Source organism: Homo sapiens, chromosome 6 (assembly GCF_000001405.40).
Source record: "Homo sapiens chromosome 6, GRCh38.p14 Primary Assembly".
NCBI classification, from domain to species: Eukaryota; Metazoa; Chordata; class Mammalia; order Primates; family Hominidae; genus Homo; species Homo sapiens.
Window position 1 is genome coordinate 145,709,496 of NC_000006.12, and position 15,224 is coordinate 145,724,719.

The window sequence follows — 15,224 nt, forward strand, 5'->3', positions numbered from 1 at the left end:
AGATATGACTTTGCTCCTCTTTTGCCTTCCAACATGATTATGAGGCCTCCCCAGCCATGTGGAACTGTGAGTCAATAAAAGCTCTTTTCTTTATAAATTACCCAGTCTCGAGTATGTCTTTATTAGCAGTGTAAGAACAGACTAATACATCATCTAAATATTTTGAATACACATGTGACATTATCCCATCTGTATTTTAGAAATATAATTCTAGTAGCTTGTAGAGGAAGGATTGAATAGAGAAGAAACACAAAGTAGTTCCTGTAGAAGTTCTTTAGATCATGTAGAAGACATAAGGAAATAATCCAGGGCAGAGGCAGCAAGATAAAACTCAAAAAGATTGTGGGATTGACAAAAACAAGAAATGGGGAAAAGATTCCCTATTTAATAAATGGTGCTGGGAAAAATGGCTAGCCATTTGCAGAAAGCTGAAACTGGATCCCTTCCTTACACCTTATACAAAAATTAATTCAAGATGGATTAAAAACTTAACTGTTAGACCTAAAACCATAAAAACCCTAGAAGAAAACCTAGGCAATACCATTCAGGACATAGGCATGGGCAAGGACTTCATGTCTAAAACACCAAAAGCAATGGCAACAAAAGCCAAAATTGACAAATGGGATCTAATTAAACTAAAGAGCTTCTGCACAGCAAAAGAAACTACCATCAGAGTGAACAGGCAACCTACAGAATGGGAGAAAATTTCTGCAATCTACTCATCTGACAAAGGGCTAATATCCAGAATCTACAAAGAACTCAAATAAATTTACAAGAAAAAAAACAAACAACCCCATCAAAACAAGTAGGCGAAGGATATCGACAGACACTTCTCAAACGAAGACATTTATGCAGCCAAAAAACACATGAAAAAATGCTCACCATCACTGGCCATCAGAGAAATGCAAATCAAAACCACAATTAGATACCATCTCACACCAGTTACAATGGCGATCATTAAAAAGTCAGGAAACAACAGGTGCTGGAGAGGATGTAGAGAAATAGGAACACTTTTACACTGTTGGTGGGACTGTAAACTAGTTCAACCCTTGTGGAAGTCAGTGTGGCGATTCCTCAGGGATCTAGAACTAGAAATACCATTTGACCCAGCCCTCCCATTACTGGGTATATACCCAAAGGATTATAAATCATGCTGCTATAAAGACACATGCACATGTATGTTTATTGCGGCATTATTCACAATAGCAAAGACTTGGAACCAACACAAATGTCCAACAATGGTAGACTGGATTAAGAAAATGTGGCACATATACACCATGGAATACTATGCAGCCACAAAAAATAATGAGTTCATGTCCTTTGTAGTGACATAGATGAAGCTGGAAATCATCATTCTGAGCAAAGTATTGCAAGGACAAAAAACCAAACACCACATGTTCTCACTCATAGGTGGGAATTGAACAATGAGAACACATGGACACAGGAAGAGGAACATCACACACCAGGGCCTGTTGTGGGGTGGGGGGAGGGGGGAGGGATAGCATTAGGAGATATACCTAATGTTAAATGACGAGTTAATGGGTGCAGCACACCAACATGGCACAAGTATACATATGTAACAAACCTGCACGTTGTGCACATGTGCCCTAAAACTTAAAGTATAATAAAAGAAAAAAAGGATTGGGGGATTGAAATATTTCAACTGCAGAGTCTCTAACAGTGGTCTTCCAAACCAGTTGATTATCAAAAGCACCTGGGGAAATTATAAAGTTTGTATTCCCTGGCCAATCCCAGAACTATTAAATTAAAATTTAAAGGATGTGGCTGAAGAAATACTCATTATACCGCAGGAGCTTGTAATACAGACAGCCCAGCCTACAAAAGTTCTACGTTTCCACACACTTGAATGACTGAGCTGCAGTGTCTTTAAATCAGGAACACAGAAAAAGGATCTTACAGAGATTGATAATGAGTTGAGGTTTGAATATATTGAATTTAAACTACTTATAGGACTCCCAGATGTAAAAGTCTTGTAGACAAGAGGATATACAGGTCTGGAGCCCAGAAGAGAGATTAGAGCTAGAGATACAACATCCTAGGATTAGATAAGGTCCTCCAGAGAAAGAATTTAGCTTGAGATAAGAAATGATGTCATGAAAGAGCTCAAAGAGCACCTAAATCTAAGAGTAGTGTGCAGATAAATGATAGTATTAGAGTTGGCAAAGGAAGGATAAATATACCTAACAGATAATTCCATTAAATCAAATGTTTTTTAGAAAAGTTGATATCATTTTTCATTGGACTAATAGAGCCTAATAATTTTCAGGGACTTTAAAATGCATTTTTCCTCAAAAAAAAATTTCCAGTGGGAAACATCAGCGGGTCCTCAAAAAGTTCACAGAAAATGCATACGTGGAAAAACTATGCACAGGTTTCAAAATTTTTTGGAACTAAAATTAACTTATACTAACTTGCTATAACATATCTGAACAAGGTCTAGTTTGAGGCACTAAGAAGAATAAGGCATCAGTTTGAAAAGAGCCCCTTTAGAGCAACATGAATTCTGCTTAAAACTGAAGCAAGAACACACATCAAATTTATGGTGAAGTTCAGGTGGAAGAATGGTGAAATCATTGATGCTTTACAAAAAGCATCAAAAGTTTATGAAGACAAAGCCCCAATGAAATCAGCATTTTATGATAGATAATTCATTTTAAGAAGGGGTGAGATGATGGTGAAGATGAAGCCTGCAGCAACAGACCATCCACATCAATTTACAAATAAAAATTCTTCTTGATAGGAAGAGGACCAATAATTAACAGCAGAAACAATAGCTGGGTCAGCTTACACAATTTCTAGCTGAAAAATTAAAGTTGAACAGACTTTCCATTCAATGGGTGCCAAAACCATTGCACCCAGATCAGCTGCAGACAACAGCAGGGCTTTCAATGAAAATTTTAAACAAATGAGATCAAGCTCCTGACGCACTGCTTTGAAGAATTATAACAGGAGCTGAAACATGACTTTACCAGTATGATCCTGAAGACAAAGCACAAGCAAAGCAATGGCTACTGAGAAGTGAAAGTGGCCCAATCAAACCACAAGTTGATGGTCAAGAGAAGGTATCATGACAACAGTTTTGGAGATTCTCAAGGCATTTTTCCTATTAACTTTCTGGAAAGCAAAAAAAATGATAGCATCTGCTTATTATGAGTGTTTTGAGACACTAGCCAAAGCTTTAGCAGAAAAATGCCTGGAAAAGCTTCACCAGAGAGTTTTTCTCCACCATGACTATGCTCCTACTCATTCATCTCATCAAACAAGGGCAATTTTATGAAAGTTTCTATGGGGAATCATTAGGCATCCACCTTACTGTCCTGATTTGGCTTGGCTCTTTCTGACTTCTTTTTGTTTCCTCATCTTAACAAATCTGTAAAGGGCACCAATTTTTCTTCAGTTAATAATGTAAAAACAAGACTGCATTGACATGGTTTAATTTCTAAAACTGTCAGTTCTTTAGGGATAGACTAATAGCTGCTATCATCGTTTAAAAAGTGTCTTGACTGTGATGGAAGTTACATTGAGAAATAAAGTTTGTGTTTTTTATTTTTATCTTTTAATTCCATTTTCCACAAATTTTTTAAGCTCCCACTTGTAACAGATGTGTTAGTACATCTTTTCCTGAATCTGAGATTTCTTTACCTGTTACAATGAAGTAAAGCACTGTACGAAACTAATGCGTGCATTTCACACTAAAAGCTTCAGTGTCCTGTCCAAGTTAGGTGCATTGACTGCTTATTTTGTGGTTTCCTATAGCCCATCTGAGGATTATCTGGAACAATGTCATCTGAGGTGATTATTTTAAAAACCTGGACCCTTTCAACACAGCAATGAAAAGGCAAATAAGCCCACTGAAAATGGGCAGAGGATTTGAATAGACATTTCTCCAAAGAAGATACATACACATATGTGTGTACAGAAGATACATATGTGTGTATCTTCCATATTGACATAAAGCCAATAAGTACCTGAAAAGATACTCAACATCATTAGTCATTAGGGAAATCAAAACCACAATAAGACCCCATTTCACACCCTCTACAATGGCTAAAATTAAAAATACACAAAATAACAAGAATGTGGAAAAACTGAAACTCATACACTGCTGGTGAGTGGAAAATAGTGCAGTCACCTTGGAAAACAGTCTGGAATTTCCTCAAAAAGTTAAACATAGAGTTACCATATTCCACTTCTGGGTACACACCAGTTCCACTTCTGGGTACATACCCAATACAAGTAAAAACATATGTTCACACAAAAACTTGTATGCAAATGTTCACAGCACCATTATTTTAAAAGTGAAAACAGCTTTTACCTCCATCAACTGGTGAGTGAATAAAGAAAATGTGACACACCCATACAATGGAATATTACTCAGCAATAAGGGTTAATGAAGAACTGAGACATGCTACAACACGTACAAACCCCAAAAACATTAACATTAGTGAAAGCAGCCAGTTACAAAGGGCCACATATTGTATGACTCCATTTCTATGAAATATCCAGAACAGGCAAAGCCCTAGAGACAGAAAGTGCATTCGTGTTTGCCTGAGGATAGGGAAGGGAGGAATAAAGATTGACTGGTAATGAGCACAGAGTTTCATTTTGGAATGGCAAAAATGTCATAAGTGTTGATAGTTACATAACATTTTGTGAATGTAGAGTTGTCTCTCAGTTCCCATGAGTAATTGGTCCCAGAACCACCAGCAGATACCAAAATCTGCAGATGCTCAAGTCCCAGATATAAAATGGCATAGTATTTGCATATAACATACACACATCCTCCTGTATGCAGTAAGCCCTCAATTAACATGGTAGATAGGTTCTTGGAAACTGTGACTTTAAGTGAAATGATGTATAACAAATCAATTTTACTACTATAGCGAAGTGATATAAATAAGGGTGGAGTTTCTATGGCGTATTTCTGGTCATAAAAACATCACCAAACTTCTCAATAAATACCACAAACACTTCTCATATTAAACACTGAAATAAATGTGAGCTATACACATATTTAAGAAAGATGAATAAAGACAAGTGTATTAGTCCATTTTCACAATGCTGATAGAGACATACCTGAGAAAGGCAATTTACAAAAGAAAGAGGTTTAATTGGACTTACAGTTCCATGTGGTTGGGGAAGCCTCACAATCATGGCAGAAGGCAAAGAGAGGCAAGTCACATCTTACATGGATGACAGCAGGCAAAGAGAGAGAGATCTTGTGCAGGGAAACTCCACCTTCTAAAGCCATCAGATCTCATGAGACTTATTCACTATCACGAGAACAACACAAGAAAGACCTGCCCTCATGATTCAATTACCTCTCACTGGGTCCCTCCCATAACATGTGGGAATTCAAGATGAGATTTGGGTGGGGACACAGCCAAACCACATCAACAAGTAAGAAAATTATTTAACCAATTAGTGGTGAGTCAGTGAGTGACTGTGGTAATAGTCGTGGTGATGGGTTATATCAAGGAACAAATGTTTGCAAAGTGAAAAAGGAGCACCTCCTGCCACTGCTCAGTTCTAAAATGATCACAAACAGGGAGGCTCACTGAGCACTTTGGTAGCATATTATTTGTTGTCAAGCATTTGTATGATTATCATATACTTTACAGATTTCTGTTTGACAATAATTTATATTCATTTCTTCATTCATTTACCAACCCAATTATTCCAGTTCAGGATCAAGGGTGGCCAGATTTCATTCCTGCAAGTGCTAGACAGGCACCCACCAGACAGGACACCCTTCTATGGCAAGGCACTCATACACAGGTACACTCACTCTGACTGGGACCATATAGACATGCCAAAGAACCGCACAGGGACAGCTTTGAGATGTGGGAGGAAAACAAAGGACCTGGAGAGAACCCACACAAACACAGGAAGAACATGCAGACTCTGCAGACAGGGGCCCTGGTAGGAAGTGATCTTTTTCTCATTAACATTGTAATGAAACAACATCGAATGAAAGATGTTATTTGAGGATATGTTGTACTTTAAATCAGGGGTCCCAACCTCTGGCCAACTTCCTCCCTTAGGAATCAGGTCACACAGCAGGAGGTAAGCAGGCGAGTGAGTGAGCAAAGCTTCATCTGTATTTACAGCTGCTCCCCATCACTCACATTACGGGGTGAACTCTGCGTCCTGTCAGATCAGCAGCACAGTAGATTCTCATAGGAGTGCAAACCCTATTGTGAACTGCACTTGGGAGACAGGGAGACATCTAGGTTGTGGGCTCCTTATGAGAAGCTAATGCCTGATGATCTGTCACTGTCTTCTCCAACCCACAGATGGGACCATCTAATTGCAGGAAAACAAGCTCAGGACTCCCACTGATTCTACATTATGGTGAGTTGTATAATTATTTCATTACATATTACAATGGAATAATAATAGAAACAAAGTACACAATAAATGTAATGTGCTTGAATCATCCCACAACCATCCCCACCTCCCCAGTCCATGGAAAAATTATCTACCACAAAACTGGTCTCTGGTGCCAGAAAGGTTAGGGACCACTGCTTTAAGTCATCTCTAGGTTACTTATACTATCAAATACCTAATGCAATGCCAGCACATCACTCCACTCATGTGGAATCAACATAATACTTGGCAGACAGCAAATTCAAGTTTTGCTTTTTAGAATTTTGCGGAATTTTTTTCTGAATATTAGATTGGTTGAATCCACAGATGCAGAATCCATAGGGACAGAAGGCTAAGTGTCCTAAAAACCACTGAACTGTGCACTTTAAATGGATGAATTCTATGGTATGTGAATTACATCTCAGCAAGCTGTTATAAAAAATATGAATTCCCAGGATCCACCCATGAAGATTCTGCAGGTCTGTGATTTAAAAAGCTCCCAAGGTGATCCTAATGCATTCCAGGACAGGGCATCACTGGTGTGGCCTAGAAAATTTACTAGAAAGTTGTCTGATGTTTTATGTTTGACAGAAAAGAAAAAATATCAGTAGAGACTGCTCGAGGTAAGCCATGCAGCAAGAGAGGTGATCCCTGCCCACGTCCTCCAGGTCTCAAGAAAGAAGACCCTACCCCTATCCTGGAGTGGCCGCCCCACAGCCTCCTGCAGCTGCCATTCCCACGCTCCTCACAACTGTGGCAGTCTTCTCACTCAGGATTCCTTCACCCCAAAATGCATTCATGCAGCTCTCCCCTCATCACCACCACACACCCAGGGAGCCCCACCACAAAAAGCTTAAACATCTCTGAAACCCTCCAACTTTGGCTCTTTCCTTGCCATTTTAATAAAATCAGCCTTTCTCCTGTCTCCCTCACATGGAGGATAGAGCCTGAGCACCCATTTCTTCTTGGATTCAGATCAGATTTTTAAAAACAGCTTTGTTGTTGTATTTATTCCCATAATTGCAACACAAAAATAAATGAGAAAAGATCCTATTTTTCATTAAATACCAAGTTCAAAATACTAACCCTACTATAAAGTCTTCCCAACCCCTTTCTTCCTCCTGAATTCCCACCCAGAAGAACTTCTTCCACAACATTGCATATGGGTACCATTCCTTCTGAAACTATTCCAATCAATACAAAAAGAGGGAATCCTCCCTAACTCATTTTATGAGGCCAGCATCATCCTGATACCAAAGCCGGGCAGAGACACAACCAAAAAAGAGAATTTTAGACCAATATCCTTGATGAACATTGATGCAAAAATCTTCAATAAAATACTGGCAAACCGAATTCAGCAGCACATCAAAAAGCTTATCCACCATGATCAAGTGGCCTTCATCCCTGGGATGCAAGTCTGGTTCAATATACGCAAATCAGTAAATGTAATCCAGCACATAAACAGAACCAAAGACAAAAACCACATGATTATCTCAATAGATGCAGAAAAGGCCTTTGACAAAATTCAACAACCCTTCATGCTAAAAACTCTCAATAAATTAGGTATTGATGGGACGTATCTCAAAATAATAAGAGCTATCTATGACATACCCACAGCTAATATCATACTGAATGGGCAAAAACTGGAAGCATTCCCTTTGAAAACTGGCACAAGACAGGGATGCCCTCTCTCACCGCTCCTATTCAACATAGTGTTGGAAGTTCTGGCCACGGCAATTAGGCAGGAGAAAGAAATAAAGGGTATTCAATTAGGAAAAGAGGAAGTCAAATTGTCCCTGTTTGCAGACGACATGATTGTATATCTAGAAAACACCATTGTCTCAGCCCAAAATCTCCTTAAGCTGATAAGCAACTTCAGCAAAGTCTCAGGATACAAAATCAATGTACAAAAATCACAAGCATTCTTATACACCAATAACAGACAAACAGAGAGACAAATCATGAGTGAACTCCCATTCACAATTCCTTCAAAGAGAATAAAATACCTAGGAATCCAACTTACAAGGGATGTGAAGGACCTCTTCAAGGAGAACTACAAACCACTGCTCAAGGAAATAAAAGAAGATACAAACAAATGGAAGAACATTCCATGCTCATGGGTAGGAAGAATCAATATCGTGAAAATGGCCATACTGCCCAAGGTAATTTACAGATTCAATGCCATCCCCATCAGGCTACCAATGACTTTCTTCACAGAATTGGAAAAAACTACTTTAAAGTTCATATGGAACCAAAAAAGAGCCTGCATTGCCAAGTCAATCCTAAGCCAAAAGAACAAAGTTGGAGGCATCACACTACCTGACTTCAAACTATACTACAAGGCTACAGTAACCAAAACAGCATGGTACTGGTACCAAAACAGAGATATAGATCAATGGAACAGAACAGAGGCCTCAGAAATAACGCCACATATCTACAACTATCTGATCTTTGACAAACCTGAGAAAAACAAGCAATGGGGAAAGGATTCCCTATTTAATAAATGGTGCTGGGAAAACTGGCTAGCCATATGTAGAAAGCTGAAACTGGATCCCTTCCTTACACTTTATACAAAAATCAATTCAAGACAGATTAAAGACTTAAACATTAGACCTAAAACCATAAAAACCCTAGAAGAAAACCTAGGCATTACCATTCAGGACATAGGCATGGGCAAGGACTTCATCTCTAAAACACCAAAAGCAATGGCAACAAAAGCCAAAATTGACAAATGGGATCTAAATAAACTAAAGAGCTTCTGCACAGCAAAAGAAACTACCATCAGAGTGAAACAGGCAACCTACAAAATGGGAGAAAATTTTCGCAACCTACTCATCTGACAAAGGGCTAATATCCAGAATCTACAATGAACTCAAACAAATTTACACACAAAAAACGAACAACCCCATCAAAACAAGTGGGCGAAGGACATGAACAGACACTTCTCAAAAGAAGACATTTATGCAGCCAAAAAACACATGAAAAAATGCTCATCATCACTGGCCATCAGAGAAATGCAAATCAAAACCACAATGAGATACCATCTCACACCAGCTACAATGGCAATCATTAAAAAGTCAGGAAACAACAGATGCTGGAGAGGATGTGGAGAAATAGGAACACTTTTACACTGTTGGTGGACTGTAAACTAGTTCAACCCTTGTGGAAGTCAGTGTGGCGATTCCTCACGGATCTAGAACTAGAAATACCATTTGACCCAGCCATCCCATTACTGGGTATATACCCAAAGGATTATAAATCATGCTGCTATAAAGACACATGCACACGTATGTTTATTGCGGCATTATTCACAATAGCAAAGACTTGGAACCAACCCAAATGTCCAACAATGATAGACTGGATTAAGAAAATGTGGCACATATACACCATGGAATACTATGCAGCCATAAAAAATGATGAGTTCATGTCCTTTGTAGGGACATGGATGAAATTGGAAATCATCATTCTCAGTAAACTATCGCAAGAACAAAAAACCAAACACCACATATTCTCACTCATAGGTGGAAATTGAACAATGAGAACACATGGACACAGGAAGGGGAACATCACACTCTGGGGACTGTTGTGGGGTTGGGGGAGGGGGGAGGGATAGCATTGGAAGATATACCTAATGCTAGATGACAAGTTAGTGGGTGCAGCACACCAGCATGGCACATGTATACATATGTAACTAACCTGCACATTGTGTACATGTACCCTAAAACTTAAAGTATAATAATAATAAATAAATAAATAAAAACATTGCATATAGGTTTCAGACTTCTGCTTTAGTCCTTACTTGACAATAAACATTTTTTCCCCTCAACTAAAAATATCTCTTAACCTCAAGGGCTGTAAATTTTTCATCTTGGTATCCCAGTACCTATCACAATTCCAGGTGTATAACTGAGCTTCCAAGTTCTTCCATGAGTTGAATAAGTGAATCAAATACTGACTCTGATTTGTTAGGGTTTTAGTTTTCCTAACTGAAGGTGCAAAAGTAATAGAGATCTCTTCTCAGTGGTTAATACCAAAATAACGATTTAAACAATACTAAAATTTGAGGTTAATAAAGTTAACACATTTTTGTATTACCAGAATACCTAGAAGAGTTTTTAGTGTTTTTTTATGTTTCATTTGGATCATATCTCTCAACATTTCTCATCTCTAGTTAGATTGATTCACTAATGGATTCTAAGTACATCCCTCTAAGAGATAATAAAACTTCTTCAACCACAATAAAAAGACAACATTATCAAGCTAAAATTTCAGATTCAAACTTCTAACCACATTAAGTAAAGACTGAAGTCTGTGCAAAAAAGCATACATAGCTCTGGAGTAAAGAACTTTTTAAATAAGTATTTCTTTTATGGGATACTTCTTCATTGTAGAGAAAACATGAGACATTGTCAAAACTAAGAAACACAAACCAATGACAAAATATTGTCAATATTTTTACATAAAATAGTTTTACTTCCATTTACAAGCAATACTCATATATATTAAGTAAATTCTTCCTCATAATTATTCTGAACTAGTAAGTGTTAAAGCAACACTTTAAACTAATGTCTTTTTGTACAACATTCAGAATTATTTTTACCTCAGAAGTCCATGGGTGAAATTAAGGATAGCTCTAAATCGAAGATGATGGAAATAACAGTGTGACCCCCAAATATTGTTTTCCATGTGTGGGGTTCCAGATTGTTCCAGTTCTGGAATTGTACCAAATACTGATTGTCATATTCATCAAACAGATAGACTTTTGCTGACTCCAAACAACAGAGATGGTAATATTTTGGTATTTTATGGCAAAAGGCATGAATGTAAATGTTATGCTAACTTCTTCCTAACATACAGAGTTCATAAAATCTACAAATATAATGTTGAAAAATGTTGGTAATAGATCAAACCATGATGAAATTTCTCTTTGCTCATAGAAACAGTATTGAGCCTTTTGACTAAGGTTTAAAAGACAATAATTTTATAATAACCTGACCGGGTGCAGTGGCTCATACCTGTAATCCCATTACTTTGGGTCACCTAGGCAGGTGGATCACTTGTGCTTCAGGAGTTCGAGACAGGCCTGGGCAACATGGCGAAACCCCATTTCTACTAAAAAATACAAAAATTAGCTGGCCATGGTGAAACATGCCTGTGGTTTCAGCTACTCAGAAGGTTGACATGGGAGGATGGCTTGAGCCTGGGAGGCAGAGGCTGCAGTGAGCCAAGATCATGCCACTGTACTCCAGCCTGGGTGACAGAGCCAGACCCTGTCAAATAAAAAAGAGAAAAAAATCATTCCCTTAATTCTCTGAAGTTTTACTTAGCTAAAATTCAGGATAAAACGCTACATTCATGTGGCATTACAATTTACCATTTAAAACCATAAAGATCACGGAATTGAAACTGTTGGGCTTCTCACTCCTGTATGTACTGGCGGCACTACAGGCCTGAGCTATCTGGACTTTGCCCAGGATGCCAGCATCAGAGCAAAAAACTTAGAAGATATTCCAGATAATGAAACTCAAATTGGTGATGGTGTTGGAAAAATAAAACATTTTAATGAGCTTACTGGAAGAGAAGTCCTGGGACCAACAATGGTACTAAGACTTCTCACACCTGGTGAAGGCCCAGCCAGTCAGTCAATCTTGACCTGTCAGCCTTACCACAGCTCTTTCAGAAAAAGGTACAATCTCCTAAGACAGCTCTTATCTCATTGAACTATCTGTTTACTGGCTTTCTGCAAGCACAATTCATTCTCACATCTCAAACACATGAGCATTCACTCTCATTCATTCACAATTCATTCTCATATCTCAAACACATTCACTCTCACATCTCAAACACATGAGCATTATTTTTACACAAATAAAAAATCTCTATCAGATGCCTATTATTTCTCTAGAAATCATAAAATATGTTATACTAGTTTAAGCTTATACTTTATTCAAACTATTATTTTGTTTCTGGTAGGTCACCAAAGAACACTTCATAACATTGTAGCTGCTTTACTACCTTTTGGGGGGAAAAATTCATAACTTTTGTCTCTTCTCACCTGTGAGCATGCAACACTACTTTCTTTAATTTGCCCTAATATTAGAACCTCCATTCTGCTTCTATGGAACATGAATAAATCATCTAAAAGTAACAAGTAATATCATTTCAGTTATCATTAACCCTGGTAAATGATGGAAGATCAGATACGGGGGGAGATAGAATGAGAAACTGTAGCAATTTATACACCTGGATTATTTTAGTCTGGCATAATTTTATTTTGGATTTGTAGAAGACTTTGGTTTAATCCAAGAGTAAAGGAAAAGCCTTTTCATTTGGATTTGAATGTACTTCTTGATAATGTTCTCAAAAACTCTGAATCATTTTGGCTGAAACAACACATTAAATGAATATTTATTTTGGAAAAGAAGGATGGGGAAATTAAGAGAAAAGTCAAGGAAAAGGACCAGTTGGAATAAACAGAGTCTCTACTCACCTCCCAGTTTTGTTGGCATTTTCTCTCAATTCTCTTCTTACTGATAATACAAAGATACCGCACAGCCAACACAAACACAAAGAACTTCTCCCTAATAAGTTCTAGAGCTCAGAGTTTCTATATGGGATATTAAAATTTACTTGCCAAATTTCCATGTCCTGCCTAGTAGAGGTAATGTGGTATGGAAGGGAATACTAAATCATAACCCGAAATGTTAGAATAATTTGGTGAATGAAGTATTAGAAAAGATTTACTCTGTTATGGGTTGAGCTGTGTCCCCCAAAATTCATATAAAAGTCCTAACTCCTAGATCCTCAGAATGTGATCTTATTTGAAGATAGGATGTTTACAGTGGTAATAAAGTTAAAATGAGGTAATTAGGGGTGGCCCCAATCCAATATGATTAGTGCCTTTATAAGAAGAAATTTGGGCACAGAGACAAAAAGAGAAGATGGTGTTAAGAGGCAGGGAGAAGATAGCCATCTATAAACCAAAGAAAGAGGCCTGGAACAGATAATTACCTCACAGCTTTCATAAGAAACCAACTCTGACGGCACCTTCATTTTGGGCCTTTAGGCTTCAGATCTGTGGAACCATAAATTTCTGTTATTTAAACCACCCAGTGTGCGGTACTTGATTATGGCTGCCTTCGCAAACAAATGTGTTATTTTAAAGACATAAAATTTCATGTTGATTTGTTTAATCTTCTTAAATTATAATAGATTATTTAAGGATTCAAAATTTTTATATCAAATATGCTCTAACATAAATGCTGTAGCACAAAAGGTAATATGAAATGAAGGTAAATTACAGTTTGTGCAGGACAAATGAAAGAGTGGAGTAAAAAAATAGTGATAATTAGAAGGCTGAATTTATGGCCATTAAAATCTAAGAATATAAAACCTCACCCAGAGTATCACTGAGTGGGGACATGTCAATCTAATGGCACATTATAATTAGAGTTAAGGATTTTCAGCATGAAGGAAGAGAGTTCCAAAACAAATAATCTAATTTCACAAGAAAGATATAATTTAGACTATATACATATGCATACACACAGAACACAAAAACACACAAGTATACCAAAAGAATTAGAAATAAGTTAAATAACAAAATCAAGACTTATTATTTTGCAAAAAATTTAAGAATATGCTGGACAAATACCTGCCTGCAAAATTTTTTAAAATCAGTAGAGATTTCTGTTCCTGCCAACAAAAAGAACAACTAGAAAAATGGCAAAATTCATAAAATAATTGTTTTTGAATGTTGAATAAAGGGCAGTACAGGACTATAATCCCTAAGAGAAGAAAACAAACAAGATGAATGATATAAATGCCATGGATTTCTGACTTCAGGGCATTTCCAAACCATGACATAGGGATGTGGGACTTTACTCTCACATTTGGGGAGAACAAAGTGAGAGTTAAATACCAGAGATGAGAAAGCTATGCAGACAAAGAAGTCCATAAATCTGCATAAAAGTTTCCTAGATTCTTTGGCTGCATGTCAATCTGTGGATGCATAACGTAAACTTTGACAGAGTCATACAAAGAACAAACAGAAAGAAAAGAAAAATTTCTGAAAATTGTAAGCCAGACAACTTGCAGAGCTTACACAGAACTGGGAAACATTTTAGTCTCCACCAGACAAAGTGAGGAAATCTTGGGGCACTGAATACATGAGGCATTCAGTAAAGAACCCAGAGTTCATTGCTTAATAGTGGGGCTGCACTAACCTTCCTAGAGACCTGCCTTTGTAAACCTTCAAGAGGAACCTTACATAGAACAAGCTAATCCACAAGTAACTTAACTGTCAGAAACTAATCCAAATTCTATGAAACAATGGAAATTACAATGGCCAGCATGCAAACAAAAATCAATAGATACAAAAGTTAATTTATTTCCTAGATATCAGCAAAGAACAACTGAAATTTAATTGTTTAAGAAAAACTAAATATACTATTTAAAATAGCATACCAAAAACCCTTATGTATAAATCTAACAAAACTGGAGAAATATTCTATGTTCATAAGTTTGAAAACTCAATATTGTTAAGATGTCAGTTCTTCTGAACTCGATCTATAGCTTCAACACAAAATCACAGCAAGCTATTCTGTACAAGTCAACAACTGAATCTAAAAAGTATTTTGAAAAGCATATGACCAACAAGAGCCAACACAATTTTGAAGAACAAGAACAAAGTTGGAAGATTCACACTACACTATTTCAAGATTAGTATAAACCTACAGTAATGAACAGAGTGTGATACTGGTTTCAAAAAAACCAGACATATAGAACTGAATAGAGAGCACAGAAATGGACATATGCAAATAAAGTCAGGTGGT

General features: G+C 37.3%; 1 protein-coding gene across 12 annotated transcripts in view; it reads right to left on the reverse strand.

The window, feature by feature from the left end:
- The window catches only part of EPM2A (EPM2A glucan phosphatase, laforin), a 352,671-nt gene that overhangs the window by 326,143 nt on the left and 11,304 nt on the right, over positions 1–15,224 (reverse strand). The window contains exon 2 of one of the 12 annotated variants that reach the window (NM_001360071.2): positions 11,406–11,660. The exons of the other annotated variants lie outside the window; for them this stretch is intronic. The gene's annotated coding sequence lies outside the window, so the exon portion shown is untranslated. The remainder of the gene's footprint in view (positions 1–11,405; positions 11,661–15,224) is intronic. 12 annotated transcript variants of the gene reach the window in all.